Source organism: Homo sapiens, chromosome 2, assembly GCF_000001405.40.
Source record: "Homo sapiens chromosome 2, GRCh38.p14 Primary Assembly".
Lineage (NCBI taxonomy): Eukaryota > Metazoa > Chordata > Mammalia > Primates > Hominidae > Homo > Homo sapiens.
Window position 1 is genome coordinate 6,421,911 of NC_000002.12, and position 22,165 is coordinate 6,444,075.

Below are 22,165 nucleotides of genomic sequence, written 5' to 3' on the forward strand. Positions count from 1 at the left end.
ACCAAATAGAAGAGAGTATATACTAGCCACCAACAAAAAGTACTATAGGGATCTATTGGAGAGATTGTTTTGATCAACACGTATCAGTAAAGGTTTCAGGAGGGGCATGAGAGCTGAGGGAAGGCTTGCATAACGGCTCTGATTCCCTCCTGGAGTGATGCTTAGGATCTACGTAGATTTTTCACAGGGCGGAAAGGAGGTGGTGCTGTATTTCCAGATTCAACACAGAGATGAGAGGGAATTTTCTGGCTTGGAATTCAAGGCATTTTCTTTCATCTTCCTAAATAATGAGGAAGTCATCACATGTCTCAAGGTGAAATGGGAGGCACCCCCTGTCCAGAGACCCCAAGAGAATATGAAACCATTCCTTAGCTTCTCTTTTGAAGTCACAAGCTCCTTGCAACTGTCAGTGCCTTATAAAATCTCTATTCCTGTACTTATCAAACTACACCACATTCTGCTGATGTAGCCCATCTTCATGTCCATCACCCAGCACCGTGCCTCTCACAAATTAGTTGTTTAATGCACATTTGGTATTACCAAAAATAACAAGATACAAGTTCAGTGCATGCTGCCTCTCTAAGCACAAATCTATGGATCAAATTTTGTGTCAGGCAAGGCTAAGTTTTCTCAAAATGCTCAGAGTAAGTAGGATGACAATGCTTTCCGGTTTTCTAGAGAGAGTTGCAATTTATGCCTGTTTCTCTGCAAAATAAATAATAGTAATCCTTTTCACCTTAAAGTTGTCACAGTTTAGATGATGAATTATGATATGGTCATCCTAAATAGAAGGCTCAATCTATGATAAAATGTGTTGTAGATCTTTCTTTATTCTCCTACCCTGACACAAAGATAACCTGTTTAACATGTTAGTATAATTCTTCCCTTTTGGAAAATGCATTTGAAAATATCTGGGGCCGCAATTTATTCACAAGTCTCATATAGTCATTTTCTTTTTATGTGAAATATTTTCTTTTCCTATAAAAGGAACAAGGGCCCCAGTGGTGTTCTGAACATGGTCTGTATGGTCTGACATATCAGAGCATCTCTACCCAACATTGCCTGCCCCGACCTGAAGTTGGTATCTTAAAAAGCCATAACAGGATTATTTCCATCATGAAAATGGGCAAACGCTACAAATCAGACTTTGATTTTGAGAGTCAGTTATGAAACACCATATTAACACTGATAAGCTGATAATAGGCCATTTAAAAAATTGATAAGTACAAAAAAGAACGCAAAAATTACCTATAATCTTACCATTTGGGGATTTCCCCTATAAACATTTGGATGTTTCTCCTCTTCTCTTTTATATGCTAACACACACAGACACCCACATCATAACACACAGTCATTATAAAGTAATGAGATTTGTTTTGAACAGATGTTACAAAATATAGCCATGTAGATGGGTATCATCTTTTGAAATAATCATCTGATGAGTCAGAATGTTTCTTCTAGGAATGATTCCATTGCTCTAAACACTTTTGCATATCCTCTGTCATGACTGTCAGAGAGCCAGTTTAAGACACCCACTAGAAAATCGCATCTGATTTTCTTAAGCCTAAATTAGAATTCCCAGATTTGTCATTTAATTTATACATAAAGCTTGACTCTAAAAGAAATTTCTTCTTTCCAAATATAGCTATAAAATGAAGATTGAAACTATTCAAAACAATGTTTTCCAAACCCTGAAGACAGCTTTGAAACAAAGAAGGCATGGCGTGCGCTGTCATGGAGTGGGGCTGGGAGGCAGGATCTCTGCGTTACGTGCAGGGCCTACAAGGTGTGTATTTTGAAACATATTTATTTGGATGTAAAAGTTCTATTATGAACTTTAAAAATCGATCACATTATTTTACAAGTTCACCTTCTGTCTGAATATATGTATGTGTAAACAGTTGCACATTTTAAGACAGAATGTTAACCATGATTTAAATATTTAATGCAATTCAAGCTATGTTTTACGCATTTTAAGTTGAGTTTGATAAAACTAAAATGCATTTTTCTAAGCCTTTTTCTCCATAATCCTTAATCCCACGTGCATTTTAAAGGAAATGAATTCCGTGTGTTTCTTATTCCATACATTTAACTCGTCAAACAATGTTTTGTAAGGACGCTTTGATATCTAAGAAGCCCTTTGAGTCTTTTTATGAGACTTTTTAAGCCTTTCTCCTCAGAAACAGGAAGTCATGTTTGGCCACGACCAAAAGAACTTGCATACCAAATGGTTTAAGCTCAATTTGAAAAGGCCACACCACTAGGCTGGGATGGGCTGTCAACGTGGCAACACATGTTCTCCAGGCCCAGAGAAAAAGGAGGTCAGGTTTTGATCTACTTAGAGGCCATGAATTAAAAGGCATCTCTGTAACAGGTTGGAGTTGCTTAGAAAGTTTAAGAAATGGTAAGATTGCTTTAAAAAAAGTCATATTTCTAAATTCCTAGACTGTAATTTGCAGAACTTTTATTTATTTATTTATGTGTGTTTTATAAAAAAAAAAAAAATGACACGTCGAGTATGAGGAGAGAGCCTACACATGGTGCTTTTGCTGACATCTGACTGCAGTTAGGCCAACTGCATAATTTGGTATTTCTGATCCTTTTTCTCCCCACACACTGCTTTCAACTTTCTGGTTTTCTGCTGTAATCATGATCCAGCAACTGATAGGGGTAAATTCTTCAGGGAATTATTCTTCAAATCCACAGAGGATTCCTGCTGCTCATTTTAATAGGGACGTCTGTGCCTTAACGTTAGGATGTCCTGCTAGTTGCTGGCTCTATAAGGATGACATCGGATGCTGGGAAATCTTGTAGAAGTGTGTACAAAGAACATAAATTCAGGAAAAATAGTGTCATGTAAGTCTAAGCCACCCTGAAACATAAATTAGATGTCTTTTCATGTTTGATGTGAAAGTATATGCTGACATTCTTAGAGGATGAGAGATTTATAACATAATCTTATGTCCAGTGTAATATTAAATAATAAATTAGTTTTAAAAAGTAACACTTACGCAATTTTATTCTCAGAGTTGTATATGAAGCCAGAGAAAAATACTATATTATTTAATAAGCAGAAAAGCCCATTTGAGGTTAGAAAAAAAATCTGGAGGATTCCTATATCATATTTATATTGAAAAATATTTTTAAAAGATTAGTTTTTCTTCCTTTTTTTTTCTACATGACCACCACCATAATTCCTATAGTACTGAGAGGGCGGCATCAGCAAATCTGCTCTTCCCCCATGCTCCCTCTCCGAATAGTCGCAATGGCCACAGGAGTCATTAATCATAGTGGCTCATGCTTGGATATTTTCCAAATGCTTTCAGGTCTATTATCTCATTTGACCCTCATAAAAACTTCTAAGTGTAGATAAAACAGGTATTACTATTGCTATTTGACAAGAAGAAAACCAGTCACAGGGAAGTTAAGAAACTGTCTTAAAAGTAATAAAGTTAATTAATGGTAAAAAGGAAGATGCCTATATGGAGTATTGGTGCCATCCTAGGACCTGTACTTGATTCCTTTAAAATGACCCCACAGGGAAGGCACTGCCCACCTGAGATGAGGAGGCTGGGCTTGGAGACCCCAGGTAACTTGGCAGAGGCTAAACCCCTAGGGAGGGTCTGGCGCCACGGAGCCCCAGGCTGACCTGACCCCACAGCTCCTCAGCACAGTTTCCACTTGTACCCAAGAATAAACCCTCCTCTCCTGACCTGTGCTTCCTCCTCTGGCTCCCTTTCAGCCACACCTGGGTGCTCCTCCCTCCCCAGCATTTCAGGGCAGCCTCACTGTGAGGTGGCAGAATGCGTATTTAAAATGGAATCCAACCATGTGTCAAAACAATTACTTCTATTCAGTCAATTCGTTCTAAATGAAACCAAAAATATAGTATACTTCGTGAAACAATGTAAACTGCTTAAAAATGTATCATCAGCTGAACAATGTATAAAGGAGAACTAAATTTATAAAGAATAAAATAGACCCACAGTCTTTTACAGGAGACAGCAGGTGCTGTGGGAAGGCTCAGGCTTGGAGGCGCACAGGCAGCTTTGGATTCTCCAGACAGCCACCTCCTAGACGCATGTTACAGGACAAATCACCTGCCTAATTTTGCTTAAGTAGAAAATTGGAATTAATAATAACAATAAAAACACTTCTTGGGGTTTTGGAGCCCATTGAGAGACTACTAAGTTTCTGATAAAAAGAGAGAATTTAAAATGATTGTTATTAGTAGGTTTTTTTCCCAAGTGAACCTGAAATGAATGGGTACTTTAGTATTTTATTTTCATTTCAAAATAAGACAAGAGAAAAAGTATGAGAGTGTGTAAAAAAGTCAGTCATGCATTTTAAGGAGTTAACACAGATGATAGATGAACACAATGTCATCAGCCTTCATCACAAAGTGACCATAAAATATATATTTAGGAAAATGTAAAAGTAGGGTCTATCAAAGCATTTTCCACCATCATCTATTCAGGACCTCTTCTGCTGTTAAGTAGAAGTGAGAAAAGAACAGTTACAATGGCAATAAATAATGTCATATAGTTCTGCCTTTTAGAGACCTGAGGAAGCAGGTAATTTAGGATTAACATGTACAGAAAATAAGACTCCTCTTTCTAGTAAGAACAAAGAGACACATCCCAAAGTCTGAAACAAACAAATGAAAACAAAAGTAAAGGAAAAAACACAAACTGAAAACATTCAGAAAGGTCAGTATACATGGGAGGTAAGTCTTAACTTTGGATTATTTTTCTTAAGAAAAAAGAAAAAAAAGCCTTTGTTTTTAATACACTCACTAAGAGTTGTACAGTGAAAATTTTGTGGAATTATTTTAAAGAAAAGGCAAGCTCAATTGCTTTGAAATGGGTGTTTCTGCCAAGCTGTGTTTATTCATGCAATCAGCATTTGTTGTAGCCCTACTAGATGTGAGGGCCTGTACTGCACAATAGCATGAGGGGAGGGAAGTAAGGAATTAGAACCACTCTCCCGGCAAGCATCAGAGATAGACACACTAGCAGCTGGCTCAAATACAGTGTAATAAGTAGCCTAATGAAGGTAAATTTTAAGTGCTCTGGGACTCAAAGGTGGTGACATTTGAGCTGAATCTTAAGTAGAAAGCACAAGCTTCTCTGGTTTAGAAAAAGGAAAGAGTATATCAGAAAGAATCATGTGTATATAGACATGGAGGTGGGAGACAGCATAGCATGGCTTATTGACAAAATAAAAAATATTTTGCTATTATTAAAAACAGGAAATCTAATGAAGAAACACGTTAAAGACAAAATTATTCAGACACGTTAAAATGATAAGGAAAACTTTATTCAAGACTATTGCAATAAGGGAGAGAGATTGAACTGAACTCCAAATTCAGCAAAACAGCTGGAGATTTACATACAAGGGGCAGAGCAGAGAGGTTCTTTCTATACTGGCTTAACAGGATTCTTGCTAAAGAAAGACCAAGAACTTAGACATCAAAGATGAGAAGTAAAGAACTTGATTAGACATCAGGGTGGGGGATAACTTAGCAGAGTTGTTTGCTAAGACCCAGCTGGGCTGGCCAAAGACAGTTTAGGAGCCACGGTCAAGGCCTAGTGGAGAAGAGGGCTTGAAGGAGCCTGACTGCAGTATGGCCAACAGGAAAGCCTTTGTCAAGCAGCAAGATCTGAGCTTTGATGGAAAAGAGGTCTGAGGCTAGCTTATGAGTAGCTGTGCATGCCACAATGAGAGACTGGATTTTATCATATGAGAAGAGAGAAGCCATTGTAACATTTTGTATTTTAGGAACATATTTTTAGAAATTCTTTCCATGTATTTAAAATAGTTTTCTTTGCAGTGATATTTAGAAAAGGAAGCATTTACCAAAGACGTGTCCCTAATACATCTATTTGAAACCATTAACTTTCTAAATAGCAGTCAAGCCCTTCCTATACATGAGGTAGGAGGCCCAAGAAAAATGAGTTCGAAACCTTTCCTTCAAGAAAGTCACAGTCTATTTCCCCATTGTTCTGAAATCCCAATACAAATGAAATTAAAATGAAATCCACATGGGAATGGTCGATTGAAAATGCAGAACCAGTTTGAAAGGTTGTTAAAAATTTATCCAGTAACTCACAACTTACAGAGCCAGAGTCCACCAGTGGGCTGTGGAGCTTTTAACTTGCCTTGGTTGCTTTCCTCTTGCCACCTCCTCTTTTAGAAGAAGACAGAAACTCTTCTCTGATCCATAAGGCTTTCCCTCTTAATGCTACCTATGCCACAGTGTGGCTTTAACACTATGGATTTTAGGGACAGAAGAGAGGTGGATGCCTGTAAGTCCATTAGGAAGACCATATTAAATAAATCATCTTATTCAAACTGAGGCAATGGTGTAACCAACGAAGACAGGCCATGCCTAAATGCGCAAAGATGTACCTTTGGTAGCCACGTTGAAACTTATTCAGTTATTAGAGACAGAATATATTGGGCTATGTTGAATGAAAATACATATTTACATAAATTTGGTATTGACTTTTTTTTATTTCCACTACCAGCTCTGCGTCAGTCCCAGCTGTATGACTTACAGTTCATCATTATTTCTAAAATTAACTTTTTTTATCTGTAAAATGAAGATAATAACTGGACTGAATTTGTGAGTTTGCTGTGATTAAATAGATAATGTTTCTAAAACCTCTAATGCTTTGCTCATGATAGGCAGTCAACACATGTCCTTTCCTCTGGGATGGAGTTGAGTTAGATATTAATCTTTTTACTCATTTATTTATTTCCTAGGAATTACATTAAAAGACTAGAAACCATCTCTTTGCTTTTCTGACAGGAGCACAGTTCTCTGGTGTTCAGAGCTGGTAAGGCCTTCTCAGAATCCTGGGGGTGAAGCAACTACTCCACCTTAGAACCACTCTCTTTCCCAGCTCTTGCACAATGTGTACCCTCTCTAGACAACAGGAAAAAGCCTCATGACAACCAAAAAAATGGTTTCAAAACAGAATAAAAATTAATGCATATGAGTGTGAAGAGGAACACGGTCTGCCCAACACATAATTGAAGAGTGTAAACTGTAACAAGTAAATGCAGCATTTACTGTATGGATATGAAAAATATGGGCCACACTTTCCATCCATTTTATTTGTGAGGTCTCCTTGAAACGGCCTATAAAACCTGGGAACCTGGGCAGCTTTCTCTAGGGGACCCATAAACTGCAGCAGCTGATACTGGTAAAATAGGTTATATGGAACCTTAGATTTGGCCAGTATTTATTGCCTGTGTAATGTACAGAAACAGTAAAACAGAAAAGCACACGTTTCCATCTGTGCCACATTATAATGCCACGCATGAGGAGACGAGCCATTTTTCATTTAAAATGGTGGCAGTCCTACAGACCTTCTTCCTTTGATATCCTACGCTACCATGCGTGATATAGCATAAACAGGCCGCCTATAAATATGAATTTTTACAGTTCTGAAAGCCGAAACATTCCAGCCTTCATGACGTCACCAAACATACCTTCCAAAATGTGAGCTAGGCCCAAGTGCTCCCCTTCTTCTATCTCTCTCTCTCTCTCTTTTTCTTTCCGATTCTTAAGCTGATTCGTGGTGTTTTTCTTTTTTAGGCACAAAACAGCTACAACGAATGTCTCTTCATAGACGCCTCCAGAGTGCACAGTTCCCCATGATATTTAAAGTGGATGACAAATCACACTCTCGAATAGTGCGGTGGGGGACGCCATGGCCATGCAAGAGTCAGGTCTTCATTTTATATCCCAAAGCTCCGCCAAGTCATTGAGATCTCAGATTCCCTTCAAGCATCAGCGAAGCTGATAGGAAAGGAACCCTACCCCACCTTATCTCCTGCCTTTCGAAAGGTGAGGGAGCAGGTTAAAGCAGATTGCTCTCCATTGTTAAGAGCGATTTTAACAGCTTTTTTGTTGTGGTTGTTTAGCAAGCCTGGAGGCTAGGAGGAATTTTTTGAGCTTTGTTTTTCCATGTGGGACTTTTCAAGAAGTCAAGAGAAAACGAGAGTAAGTAAAGACAAATAAACAAATAAGCCAAAGGAAAAAAAAAAAAAACCATCAATTTCAAGTCGCCAAGGTGAGGCAGGGGGATTGGGGGTGGGAGAAGACTGTTGTCTAACCTGTCCTTTCGCCTACATTTTTCAGTGCTTGTTTTGCTTTCTTTCTTTCTTCCTTTTTTTTAGACCAGAGATTTCCATTTTCCTTTGGTTAAGCTTCTGATGGTTCCTAAAGAAAGTTATTAGACTTGAGCTGGAAATTTCCTTGGAGTTCACCTCTTACATGAAGGCATACAAAGGTTAAATTTGCCCAATAACACACAGGCAGGAGTAGCAGAGCTACTGAATTTTTCAGCACAAGTGAGAAAGGAAAAGAGGCTCTGAAATCAGTTTAAATGTGCAATTTCAGGGAAGTTATTTAAATTATCTGAGTTTCACGTTCCTGACCCACAGAGTGCAAGGTTGTCATGAGGATAAATATGACATCTTTATCTGCATGCTCTATGTTGACTAGGTCTTAGGATAGTTTTATAGCTAAAAAAAATCAACTTTTTGAAACAGTTCAGGTAGTTTCACTTTTCTCCGTTGAAATCCAAGGTCACTGTTGGTGCAGACTGTCCCTTTATTCTGAGAGGTGTGACTTGGCTGGGCTATAGCCTAACCATCCTTCTGTGGAAAACTTTTTTTTCTTTTCAATGTTTGTGGGTACATTGTAGATGTATACATTTATGAAGTACATGAGATATTTTGATACAGGCATGCAATGTGTTATAATCACATCAGAGTAAATGGGGTATCCATCACCTCACGCATTTATACTTTGTGTTACACACAACCCAATTATGCTTTTAGTTATTTTAAAGTGTGCAATTAAATTATTTTAACTATAAGAACCCTGTTGTGCTATCAAATACGAGGTTTTGTTTTGTTTGGTTTGGTTTGGTTTGCTTGGTTTGGTTTTTTTGTATCCATTAACCATCCCCACATCTTCCTGCATTGCTCTCCCATTAACCTTCTCAGCCTGTGGTAACCATCTTTCTACTTTCTACCTCGTCAATTCAATTGCTTTAATGTTTAGCTCCCACAAATAAGTGAAAACATGTGAAGTTTGTATTTCTGTGCCTGCCTCAGTTCATTTAACATAATGATATCCAGTTCCATCCATGTAGTTGCAAATGACAGGATCTCATGCTTTTTTATGGCTGAATAGTACTCCATTGTGTATATGTATCACATTTTCTTTATCCATTCATTAGTTAATACACACTTAGGTTGCTTCCAAATCTTGGCTGTTGTGAATAATGCTGAAATAAACATGTGAGTGTAGATGTCTCTTCAATATACTGATTTCCTCTTTTTGAGGGGATATATATGTATACACATACACATTTGTATACATATATACATATACATATACACATATACACACACACATATATATCATGGAGTGGGATTGCTGGATTGTATCATAGCTCTATTTTAAATTTTTTGAGGGACCTCCAAACTATTTTCCATAGTGGTTGTACTAATTTACATTCCCACCAACAGTGTAAACTCTTTTTTCTTGACCTGTTGTCATTTGTGTGATCCTGAAAGCCCAAGTCCTGTGCAAGCTACTCTGGAACTCAGAACAAGGTGACTTGCTTGTGAACACTAAAAAAAGTGAAATTTACAAGTGGCAAGATCATGGAGAAGTACAGGAATATACCACCGACAGCTGAAGCGGGGTGCAGCCCAAATTGCTTGGGAGGAGAAGGCAGCCATGGCCTGCAACTCTGCAGGGTCCCACAGGGACCAGCAGCACCAACACAGCAGGCAGCAAGAGGAGGGTTTAGTGCAGAAGGAATGGGGCAAATCACCTGCCGGAAGGACACCAGGATAGACACGCCCAGATGCAGAGAGCTGGATGCAGAACCCAACAGAAGTCAGGAAAGGAGAAGTGCAGTTTCTCTTAGGGGTCTGCCAGGATAGTCCAATAATCTTACCTGAAGATGAGAATAAATAAAAAATGTAGCCATTTCTAGGCTTCATTTTGTTTAGAGCACATAATTTAATTACATGCATGAAAGTTAGAGATTTTTCGGAAGAGTTTTTTTTTTCCTTAGCTTGTTACACATGTCAGGGACTAACTATATACGCATCATATGAAAATACCCCACGTATTTTAAGAACCGCTAAACATAAGAAAAATGTCTAGCTAGCATCAGTGGCGATTACACAGGTGATCAAACCTATATCCCAGTCTTTAGCCAACTGAAACTTGTTGATTTAAGTTGGAGGTTTTTGACAGTGGCTCATTTAAATCCTACCACTTTGTAACTGAATGTCTTTAGTGAATTCCTTAGATTTATTATAATGCAAGCTCCTCAACTATGAAATTGGAGATTGATAAGAATACTTATAGGACTTTTTGAGAATTAGATAATTTTTGGCCGGGCATGGTGGCTCATGCCTGTAATTCCAGCACTTTGGGAGGATGAGGCGGGTGAATCACCTGAGGTCAGGAGCTCGAGACCAGCCTGGCCGTCTCTATTAAAAATACAAAAATTAGCTGGGCATGGTGATGGGTGCCTGTAAACCTAGCTATTCAGGAGGCTGAGCCAGGGGAATGACATGAACCAGGGAGATGGAAGTTGCAGTGAGCCCAGATTGCGCCACTGCACTCCAGCCTCGGCGCAGAGTGAGACTCCGTCTCAAAAAAAAAAAAAAAAAATTTAGTTATTAAGAATAATTAAATCATGTAAATAAATGCTAAATCAGTGCATGCACACAATAAGTACAACTTTGTGTAAGAAAAAGCTGTTCATTACTACACATTTTGAATCATTCCTGGTATCAAGTAAAGATATTATATTTCAGCAGCAGTGGGAAGACTAGACAAAGTCTCAGGTCTACTGGAATCTCAGGCCTCAGGTCCTTTGCCAGAGCTGCTTGGAAAGTCTTTCTGGTGTTTCCCTCTTGGGTACACCTACCTGCCCCTCAAGAATTAGCTAAGCCAGGCATCATGGCTCTTGCCCGTAAGCCCAGCACTTTGGGAGGCAGAGGGGAAAAAATTGCTTGAGGCCAGGAGTCCAAGGTCAGGCTGACCAAAACAGTGAGACCCCGATCTCTACAAAAAAATAAGAAATTAGCCAGGCATGGTGGCTCACACCTGTAGTCCCAACTACTGAGTCGACTGAGGCAGAAGGACCACTTGAGTCAAGGAGTTTGAGGCTGCAGTAAGCTAGGATCACACCACTGCACTTCAGCCTAGGTAAGAGTGAGACCCGGTCTCTTAAAAAATTAAATTAAATTAATTTACAAATAAATAATAAAATAGAATAAAACTAACTGAGGGGTTTTCTCCCAGGACGTGAAAAAGATCTTTCCTTGACACCTTTGGTACTGCTGACTGAGCTCACTACACTGAATAGCATCTTAATTCATTTTTCCCTGTAGATTGCAATTTTGTAAACAAAAGAGATCGAGTCTTCTTTGTTGTATGTATCACAACATCTGTCACAGGCTGGCCCAAAGTGCCCAATAATATTTTTTGGATGAGTGAAGCTCAGGGCCATAGCTGTATTGAAAAGCTAAAGGAATCTGTGGGGTTTTTTGTATGTTTGTGTGTGTATGTGTGTGTGTTATACTGTTTAGAAGATTTTGTGTTCCTGCATTTCTGTATGTAATTGTTTGCTTTTTGTTGTTTTGTTCAAATTTTTTTTTTTAGAAAAGATGCCAGCAAAATCATGTTTGTTGCCGTTTTGTGCAATCTGTGTGCTCCTTAGTGGTTCTGCTAGCGTTCTTGTGCTTAGTGATGCTCAAGATGTGTGGATGTTTTCATAATGCATGGGTTTATTGCCTGACATGTTCATACAGAATAAGTAATTAAATTCTAATAAACTAAGGAAAGAAATCTTTTCCTCCAGCATTTGTGCCTCCTGGAGAATCATGTGCATACGCAGCTTCAATTTGATTAAAATACCATTTCAGGTTGGGCGTGGTGGCTCACGCCTGTAATCCCAGCACTTTGGGAGGCCAAGGTGGATGGATCACTTGAGACCAGGAATTCGAGACCAGCCTGGGCAACATGTTGAAACCCCGTCTCTACTAAAAATACAAAAATTAACCGGGCATGGTGGTGCTCACCTGTGGTCCCAGCTACTCGGGAGGCTGAGGCAGGAGAATTGCTTGAACCAGGGAGGCGGAGGTTGCAGTGAGCCAAGATTGCACCACTCCACTCCAGCCTGGGCAACAGAGTGAGATTCTATCAAAAAATATATGTGGAATTTCATCCACTCATCAAAATTCATATGAGTCTGTTATATATACACTATAGTAGAGTGTGAGGAGTCAAAGGTTGAGATACCTGATAGCCACCAACTCCAGCAGGAACATAGACTGGTAAGAACTAAAGAATAACAGATGGGTAAGTGTAGAAACAGCAAGTTTAAACAAGAGGGGACTGGTCACTGCTGACTTGGGTGGACAGGGTGGCAAGGACCCAGGGAATGAATCATGGGGTTTGCGATGATTAGGATATTTTTAAAGGTCAAAATTTTGTTAGATGGACAAATAAACGGGCAACATAGGCTAAGAGAATCACATGAGTAAAAGCTCTGAAGCACAGGGTGTTAGGAAACTGTGACTCCGTCAGCCATGCTGGAGCACACGGGATGTGGGAGATGAGGCTGATACCTATTAGGGGTGAAGCCACCCACGGCCCTGTGCTGTGAGGAGGAGTTTGAATATGATTTTCAATAAGAAGGTTTGTGATGGGAAATTCTAAGTGATGAAATGATGCAATCAATTTTCTATTGTAGAAATACCCTAGCTGTAGGCTTGGGGAAACATTGAAGTCTGGAGACCAGCAGAAAAGCATCAAGCTATCACAAGCGACAAAAATTAAGAGCTTTACCGAGATGAATAAAATCTCTGAGCTTTAACATGCCTCTATAAACATTCCATGACTGCAATAGTCTTTTCTTCAGGATCTAAATAACAGTAAATAGTCCAATAACCAACATTTCCCGTAAACATGGACAGTGGCAGTTAGAGTGTTAACCCTTTGCTCAACAAACTCTGCAATTAGCCTCCGAGTTAAATCATATAAAATTTACTTAAATTTTGGTTTAAGGATGAAACACATTCTATCATGGCCTAATTATTGAAATAGGTTAGTTTTGTGATTCCCTGTAGGTAGTTTATTTCTGTTTCGGTTACATTTTGATATTTCGGGGAATTGTACAGATAGTTCTGAGGGCGAGCTCCGTACAAATGTTGCATAATAAATCACTTTTATGTTGGCATAATAGGTTTTTTCATAATGTTATAGACAAGATCTGCTCCAGGCCTGCCACATGTCTAATAGCTATTTTAATAAAACATGCTTTTTCAGTTAGCGGATTCTTGGCTAAACTGCAAAGAGGAAATGTTGTCCACGTAGCAGTGGATATGAAATGGTTAAACAAGAACACCCGGAGCTACGATTGCGAGTGAGAAGGTTTCATGGTGCTAAGCGGCATGCACTGTGAGGCCGATGGTACTGCCTCCTGAGAACACCTTTCTCAGCTGTGGTAAAAACATCTTTAAGTGAAGCCATTGATAAGTATTTGGTGTTTAAAATGAACTTTACACGTGTGCATAAAAAGACACCTGGTTTTAGGGCCCTGCCACTAAGATGAAACTTGCACCATGTAGCAGCTGGATTACTTTTTGCTGCAAATAACACAAAGTTCAACTCAAATTGGCATGAATAATTTGAGAATTAATTTATGTCCTCTGATAGGAAATATAAAGGTTGTACAGATTCCAGGTTTTCTAAGTCAGGGTACAACAGAATCATCAGGAACCTAGACTGCTTTCATTCATCACTGGGTACCCATGGCCTCAGTTTACCACGGAGACTTGTTCCTTTCAAAATACTCAGATGTCTCTTAGACCCAATCAAGCAGGGTGCTTCCTGATTCATGTATAACAGGAGACAAAGAAGATAATTTAACTTTCTTCATCATTTTGGACCAGTTACCCAATTGGACAACGATCTTGCTTTTACCAGAAATAGTTAGAAGTATATACTGAGTGGCTTAGATGTGTCTCCATCAACTTCTGGCACTGGGGTGAGATTGGTTTAAAAACAATCATATGGTTTGGGGAGGTGAATATTGGATACTGGAATAAAATTGCAGTTCTGTTTGTAAGGATGAAAGACAAGATGCTGAGTAGATTTCATATCGGGACCACAACACACTGTAGAGCATTGCAGGCCGCACTTTCAAGTATCAACAGGATATGGAGCTCTCATTAGGAGGAGTCTAGCATCCAAAGTGGACAGTATTATTTCCTGGCTACCCTGGCCATCAGTGAGGAGGCTCAGTGCATGCCGGTGGAGCCCTACTTCACGGCGCTCATGGTCGTGTATTTACGCAGAATTGAGTTAAGTTGTAAAATAGCTCTCACTTCACAGGCTGGATTCAATATTTTCAAATTTTGTAAAATCTGGATGTAAAGAGCTCTGTATATATTAGTTTAGATGGATACCTGGAATAGGTGGGTTCTGTCTAAATCCTATGGTCAAAATTCTGGTGATCAGCATGGAAAAAAAAGCAGAGAAACAGAACTTCTTATGGAAGTTTTGAAAATTCTAGGTGTGCTACATTTTATAAACACATACACAGAAAAAGTATGGTAGACGCAGGTACAAATAGACCTGTCACTTCACAAGTCATTTCCCCATTTTTACAATGCCACCTAACAAACACCTGCAATTCATTTCTGTCTACATTGAATCAGTTGTCCAGAGTTTTCAAACAATGGCATTTGGAGTATCCAATATGGCACCAGCTATGGCAACATTCTCCTCGAAGCACCAACTCAGTTAAATTTTGCCTTAGGAAAACCAACTTTTCAATATGTTACTAGGAATATGTATACTCCAAAATAAAACTGACCTATAATTTTAGACTCTGGAAAAATTAGGGTATACTCCTCTTGCTTCATAAGATCTGTTAGATACCTTTTCTTGTTTTCAATGACACAAGATTTTTATGGCAACACACTCCAAGGGCAGTTTGCCCTTCGAGATTTTTGCCACCTCTTTGTTTCTTGTTAAATGAATACTAATCAATGTCAGAGAGTACTTGTGCTACTCCTGTTCTCTGCTTGAATATGGAAATACAATTATCCCAATGGTACAGGATCCCAGGCCTCTTCAAATCGTGAGGTCTCCAGAGTTTGATAACGCAGGAAAATGTGCAAATTTAGAGCTGGGCTCTCAAAGAACAAATAATCAACTGTTTCCAAGGGAAGCATTGTTGTGATTTTGTCTCTTTTCTTCAGAGCAGAAACTCTGGGCCAATGGCAACTTCCAATCCTCATCTCACTCCTCACAATTGAGCAGCATAATGTCTACTGTTTCTTTTCTCTTATCCCACTCTATGAAGCCTTGTTCTAAAATTGCTAGGAATTACAAGACAGTGAGAGTAGCTCATTAAGCCTGGGACCTCAGAATGTGGGATTCTGTGGGACTGCATGGGGTATACAGGTTCACAATGAAAATCACCTGCTTGCCGGCAAGGAGACATTGAGTGCTTCTTAGTTTGAGGTCTAAGAACTGAGTTTCAGTTCCAGCTCAGCCTCTCCCTCATTCAATGACACCGCCAGGCACTGCTCCTCTCTGAGCCTCAGTTTTCTTATCTGCATTTTGAAAATATAAATATGACCCTCATAAGGTTAGTTTTACAATTTAAATAAAATGATGAACACAAAGTTCTGTTATCAGCATTGAGGCCACACCTACCATAACATTTTATATATTTTTCTATCATTTTTAAAACTAACCAGGGAAAAGACTACTATAGCGCTTACGATGTAAGGCAGTCATAATTTGGGAATGACAGAATATTTGCTGATTTTTACGTTAATTTTAGAATCTATTTGGTATCTCGATTTATATAACATATAGAGATCTAAAAATTGAAATTATCTCCAGTAATCAATTATTTTACTCCATTACTGACCTTTATGAAGTTACATTTTCTCTCCTATACTCACCATGCCCTTGGTTATCTTTCCAACTCTGTTTTCTACCAATAAGTGCAGTTATTTAAAAAGAAAGACCAGCCGGGCGCCGTGGCTTACGCCTGTAATCCCAGCACTTTGGGAGGCCGAGGCGGGCGGATCACAAGGTCAGGAGATTGAGACCATCCTGGCTAACACAGTGAAACCCCGTCTGTACTAAAAAATACAAGAAATTAGCCGGGTGTGGTGGCGGGCGCCTGTAGTCCCAGCTACTCCGGAGGCTGAGGCAGGAGAATGGCGTGAACTGGGGAGGCAGAGCTTGCAGTGAGCCGAGATCGCGCCACTGCACTCCAGCCTGGTGACAGAGCAAGACTCCGTCTCAAAAAATACCAAAATAATAAAATGAAAAAAGTGCTGTGATCCCAAATACAGACAATCCTGGATTTACAATGGTTTGACTTTTAGATGGTATGAAAACCATATGCATTCAATAGAAACTCTTCTTTGTGTACTCATACAGAAATTTATATCATTCTGTTTTTGTACCATTCTGTTTTTTACTTTCAGTACAGTATTCAATAAATAACATGAGATATTCAACACTTTATTATAAAATAGTCCTTGTGTTGGATTATTTCACTCAACCGTAGGCTAATTTAAGTGATTTGAGCACATTTAATGTGAACTAGGCCATGCTATGATTGTTAGGTGTATTAAAAGTTAGATATATTAAATGCATTTTCAACTTATGATATTTTCAATGCATGGCAGGTTCATCAGGACATAACCCCATAATATGCCAAGTGGCATCTGTATTTACTGTGTCTTATGCAGAAAAGTAATGTTTTATGTCATTTTAACAAGGTTTTTTCTTCTGTACTAAAAATTCTACCCAAGTAAAATAAAAATGTCCCTGTATAATCAAGCTCTTTCTGACACCAACCTAATAAATTTGAACCTCAGGTAGAGTAACAGTGTTATGATGGAGAGTGTTTAATAAATAAATTTGAGGATTACTGGAATATTCAGAAAATGGCCAATGGCAGAGTGAAAAAGTAACAACTTAAAAATAAAACAAGACAGAGAAAGAGAAACAGAGAGCAAGCAAACAAGCAATAATTTTTAAAAAAAATACCACAGAAAATATTTTTCATGAGAGGTCAAAGAAAATCAGAAGGTGTTTTTCCGATAAGGAACATCAGCCTCACAGCTATGCCAACCCCACTTCTCCAGAACCCAAGTAGAACAACCAGGGTGCTAAGAAGAGCACCACCCAGCCTTGTCTTCACTATGTGCAGGAGCTTTACAGTTGCCCCAGGTCAAAATCTATGTCCCACCAAGGCATGGATAGCAGATAATTGGAGCTCTGCCGACAAAGAAGACTGCTTTTCTTCCAGTGACTCAAGATTCAGATTTTTCTGTGAACAGCAGCTCAAGACTGGAGTTACATTGAGAAAATACTAGTAAGGGCTGAAGATAAATTATATTACTATTGGGGGTTTTATTTCTCAATGTCTTAATCTAATTGTTTATTCAAGTTAAAGTGAGACATACAATTGATTCAGGGACATGTTTAAATTGATTTAGTGGAAGTCAATTTCTTATTTATTTATTTATTTATTTATTTTGAGACGGAGTCTCGCTCTCTCACCCAGGCTGGAGTGCAAGGGTGCGATCTCGGCTCACTGCAACCTCCGCCTCCCAGGTTCAAGCAATTCTCCTGCCTCAGCCTCCCAAGTAGCTGGAATTACAGGTGCATGCCACCACGCCTGGCTAATTTTTTGTATTTTTAGTAGAGACAGGCTTTCACTGTTTTAGGCAGGATGGTCTCGATCTCCTGACCTCGTGATCTGCCCACCTTGGCCTCCCAAAGTGCTGGAATTACATGTGTGAGCCATCACGCCTGACCGGAAGTCAGTTTCTTATATTTTAAAAGCCCAATAAATTAAAGAGAACATAGAGATTCCTCTTGTAGTTTCCAGTACCTAAGAGAAATGTGGTTTTACCCCACCAAGACATCAGCCTCACACCATAAGGACACAGCCCTCCCTGCAGGAAGGTTTATGTGCTCCAGGCAGAGAGCAGCTTCCTGGGCTGGGGATTATGTCCAGCATGTCCAGTTCCATAGGAAACTCCCATGGGCTAGAGCACCAGCCACACAAGACCTGTCTCTATGCCTTCCACAAAGTACAGACCCCCAAGAGTGCAAATTACTCTTTATTTTTTAAATAAATTCCTTAAAAGTGTTGCATTTTAGAAAAAAAATCAGGTAGAATATTCACACCTAGAAGCCTGTATAAAAAGAGATGATTTCATCAGATAGGTAAAATTTCCCTTCCAAACTTGAAGGCATGAAGAGGTAAAGTCCAAGTACAGATACCTGATTTTTGATGGTGGAAATACTGAAGAGAGCACAGTCTATGAGATCTTGCTGGAAGCTTATAATTCTCATCTCCCCCAGTGTGAACAGTTCCAAAGGAATCACCTTTTAGAACCTGATCCAATAACCTAAGCTCTTTTATCCTGAATTTCTATAGTTTACGTTACCAAAGGAGCAGAGTATCTTTATATCAATACATTTATGTGGTCATTTAAATGAACTGTATGTGCGGCCTGTTTGATGGTTCTAGCACACCTCACTCTCCCTCATAGTGCACATGTATCTGAAAAGAGTGAGCACAGGGTCATTGTTTTATCCTCGTCTACACATGAAGCTCCAAGGATGAAGAGGTGAAAGGACAGTGGGCCACAGAAGCAGCCACACAGTGGCCTTCTAGACCATGCATAGTCTGCAGCTAACCTCAGTGGGCTCCACAAACCAACCCACGACACATTCAGCTACATTCAGGATCCATTTTTAATCCCAGGTTCTTAGCATGTCCATCCCTAGACAATCAAGTCATGGCAAAAGTCCAGAGCTGTATTTTGGAATTCTTAAAACCATTGCCAAAATCAAGTAGCTGGAACTGTCCGGGAAAAATAAAAAAAAATGTTCTTGCTTAAGATAACATAGATTTATAAAATTCTGGAGTTGTCAAAGAGCTCAAAGTCTACCTGTACCATGGCTCTCCGATTCTCCCTGCAGCTAGAGCACATTATACAACAGCTCTTCAGGCAGCCACCTGCCTCTGCTTCCACAAATCCTCAGAGGAGGTGACATTTCTGGTCCCAAAGAAAATTGATGTGGTCAGGGACTAATTACTTTCTAATAATACTCTTCACATGCTCTTTGAAAAGAAACATCTAGCATTCCAATAGCCCACTGTCTGTGAGAGAGAGGCTTACCCTTTAATGTTTTGGGGCATGTCAAATTTAAATGAACCAAACTAGACAGAATAGCAGGTTCAGTGCACCAACTGGTAGAACACAGAGCCAGGGTGTAGGTCAGAGATGTATTAGAGCTGAGAATTTAAAGGTTAAGCAGTGACTCCACCTGAAGTGGACACCTGCAAAGGTGACTCTTATGGTAATACCAGTGTCACTGCTTCCTCCGTCTTTCCTGAGTGTCTTCCAGATGGATAACTCATCTATCCCTGATTCAAACACTTTTTAAATGAAACTAAACTTGGGCATATTTTGGACTGTAGTTATGTGTTGCATTGATTCCTAACTATAGATACTGAAATGATCAGACTTAATTGTAGTAGCAGTAATGCTTACTATAGTACCCAGAGTTGATGGGGATTCTGGAATCGCTGAGAGGCCATCTGTGCTATTTTAGTCCTCATTCGTAGGTCCAGCTCACTCTCCCTTAATTGTGAGTGCTACTAGCTACTGTTGGTACACTACCATCCACGTATTTTTCTCTATCTTTCCTGGTACATGATTTTTTGTTTGTTTTGCTGCATTATCCTGGAGAGTATAAGACAAATTTTTAACTGACAAGTCAAATCATATATTTATCTTGAATTCATTATATTTTGTATTTGGAATGCTGTACCTAAACACACAATCTTCGGCTTCACCAGAGCTTCTCCAACACATGTGTCTACTAGAGGCTGGCAAGAAATTCTGATCCTGTAAGGGTTTACACTCTTGACCACAGGGCTCATGACCTCAATGGTCACATAATGTCATTCATCTTCTTAACTACAAAGCTTTACGTGAGTCATCTGATTAGCTGCCCTGACCATTCCCCTTCTGTCTGTTCACTCTGGTGGCTTCTCTGTACCCTGAAAAGTTTTCAGGGACAGTAAACAATGCTTTGTAGACTAAGCCCTGGAAAATATTCTTTATCTGTAGTCCTGTTCTGTATCTCATCCAAAACTTTCCCTTTCCTTGATAACTAAATTTGAAGGCCTATAGAACTGCTCTTTCAGAAAAAAAATTGGCATCCATCCATGAATTTTATAAACATTTTAAATGCTTCCCAAATTCTTCAATTTTGTCTGTAACTTTCCTCTTGCTTCTAGTTCATCTTCCCGAATGAGTTTGTCTTGATCTGACACTAGAGCACCTTATCTCCTCTGTTCCCCAGAAGGAGCTTTTGCAACATGGCTGTGCAGAATGAGGGATGCTGTCTGTGGTCAGGGCTAGCTTGCAGCTGTGCAGCAAGGGGAAATCCTACCATGTCCTGTCTCACTAACACGTCCTCCAGCCACCTGAGCCTAACATTTCCCCTGAAAATAATGACTTTGCCATCAACTACAAATATTAAGAACAGAATACCCAAGTATTAAGTGAAATGACTGTTTTCTCTTTTTTCCTTTTATTGTTTCTGTAGCAATATTCTACCAAACTAGGTGCAATGACACATAAAACTTTCACGTTCACAAACAAAGGAACAGTCCAGTATCAGCCCTACTTACTTTTCTGGCCTCAAACTCAAGTTATACACCATATTAACTGCAAACAGCAGGGTCTTAATCATTCTTAGTTGCCAAATAGCCTAGCAAATTACATATTGTGCTGGCTCTGGGCACTGCTAGAGGAAATAAATGCCTATGTTTATGTGGAAAATATGACCATATAACATAATTGGGAGTATTTAAATTCTTTTTCATGAGTATATAATTTCAACAATGAGTATGATGGGTATTGCTTGAGAATTCTTCAGAAAAATGAAAAACAGATTTACTGAAATCATTAGAAACTGATCAGTGATTAGTGGCAGTCGCTTTTATCAACACAAAAATAGAGCAAAATAATCAAGGTATTCATTTATTTTCACTCACTTAGTACCCATATGCTATTTCCATTAGAGCAGCCTAAAGTTACTTAATGTTCAATTCTGCATTGTAGGGAGAGCCACTGTCATAGGCAGGCATGGCCCAATGGTAAGGCATATGGGAGATTCACTCCTTTTCTCTGAGCAGATGGAGACTAAGCATGTCATAGAAATAATGTGTTTTGTCTCTAGAGAGAGGATGCTGGCTGCTTTGTTCTCAGATGACATCGCCTGCCAGGCCTTCTGCTCAGGTTTGAATTCATATGTTTTGGGTTTCCACTGACTTTTTCTCTTTTGAAAAGAATTTCCACAAAAAAAAATAAATAAATAAAAATAAAAAAAAACCTTGCTTTACAATGATCCAGAAGTCTGAAGTACATAAATGAACTTTGTCTTCCAAAGGACACAGTCTTTTCACATTGCATGGCCAATTTAGCTTTACAAATTCCAGGGAAGAGAATGGGATAGGGAGCAATAAGCCTTCCTAGAGCTGAAGAAGCAAAGATGCAGAGAAGTGTGACTCACCCAGGGCCTTGCAGCTAAACTTCAATACAAACAGCTGTCATGACTCTGCTCTACATTGTGATCCACTGTATTGAATAATCCATGAACCTAAAAATGAACATGGACTAGAGGCCAACCTACAAACTGAACTTACCCACTGAAGAGCTTTCGGTGGAGTCTAAATGCAGACAGCAATTGTACGTGGCTTCAGGGACGTTTTGCTTGAAGACAATGTGTCTGCTATTGCTGCTCATAGCTCAGCATTCTGTCAGGTGTAGATGTGATGCAGGATTTTTGTTTTTGGTCACTTTGCAAGCCGGGGACCCCTGGCCAGTGACACTGCTGCCCAGGGGTGGCCACGCTGGCATGCCCCAGCTCAACTGTGTTATAGCTTATACCTGTGTCCTGTGGTTCCTGGGCTCTTATATCATGCCCAAGAAGAACAAGCATACGCTGGACATTGAAGGGCGAGGAACGTGGAGAAGAATTTTA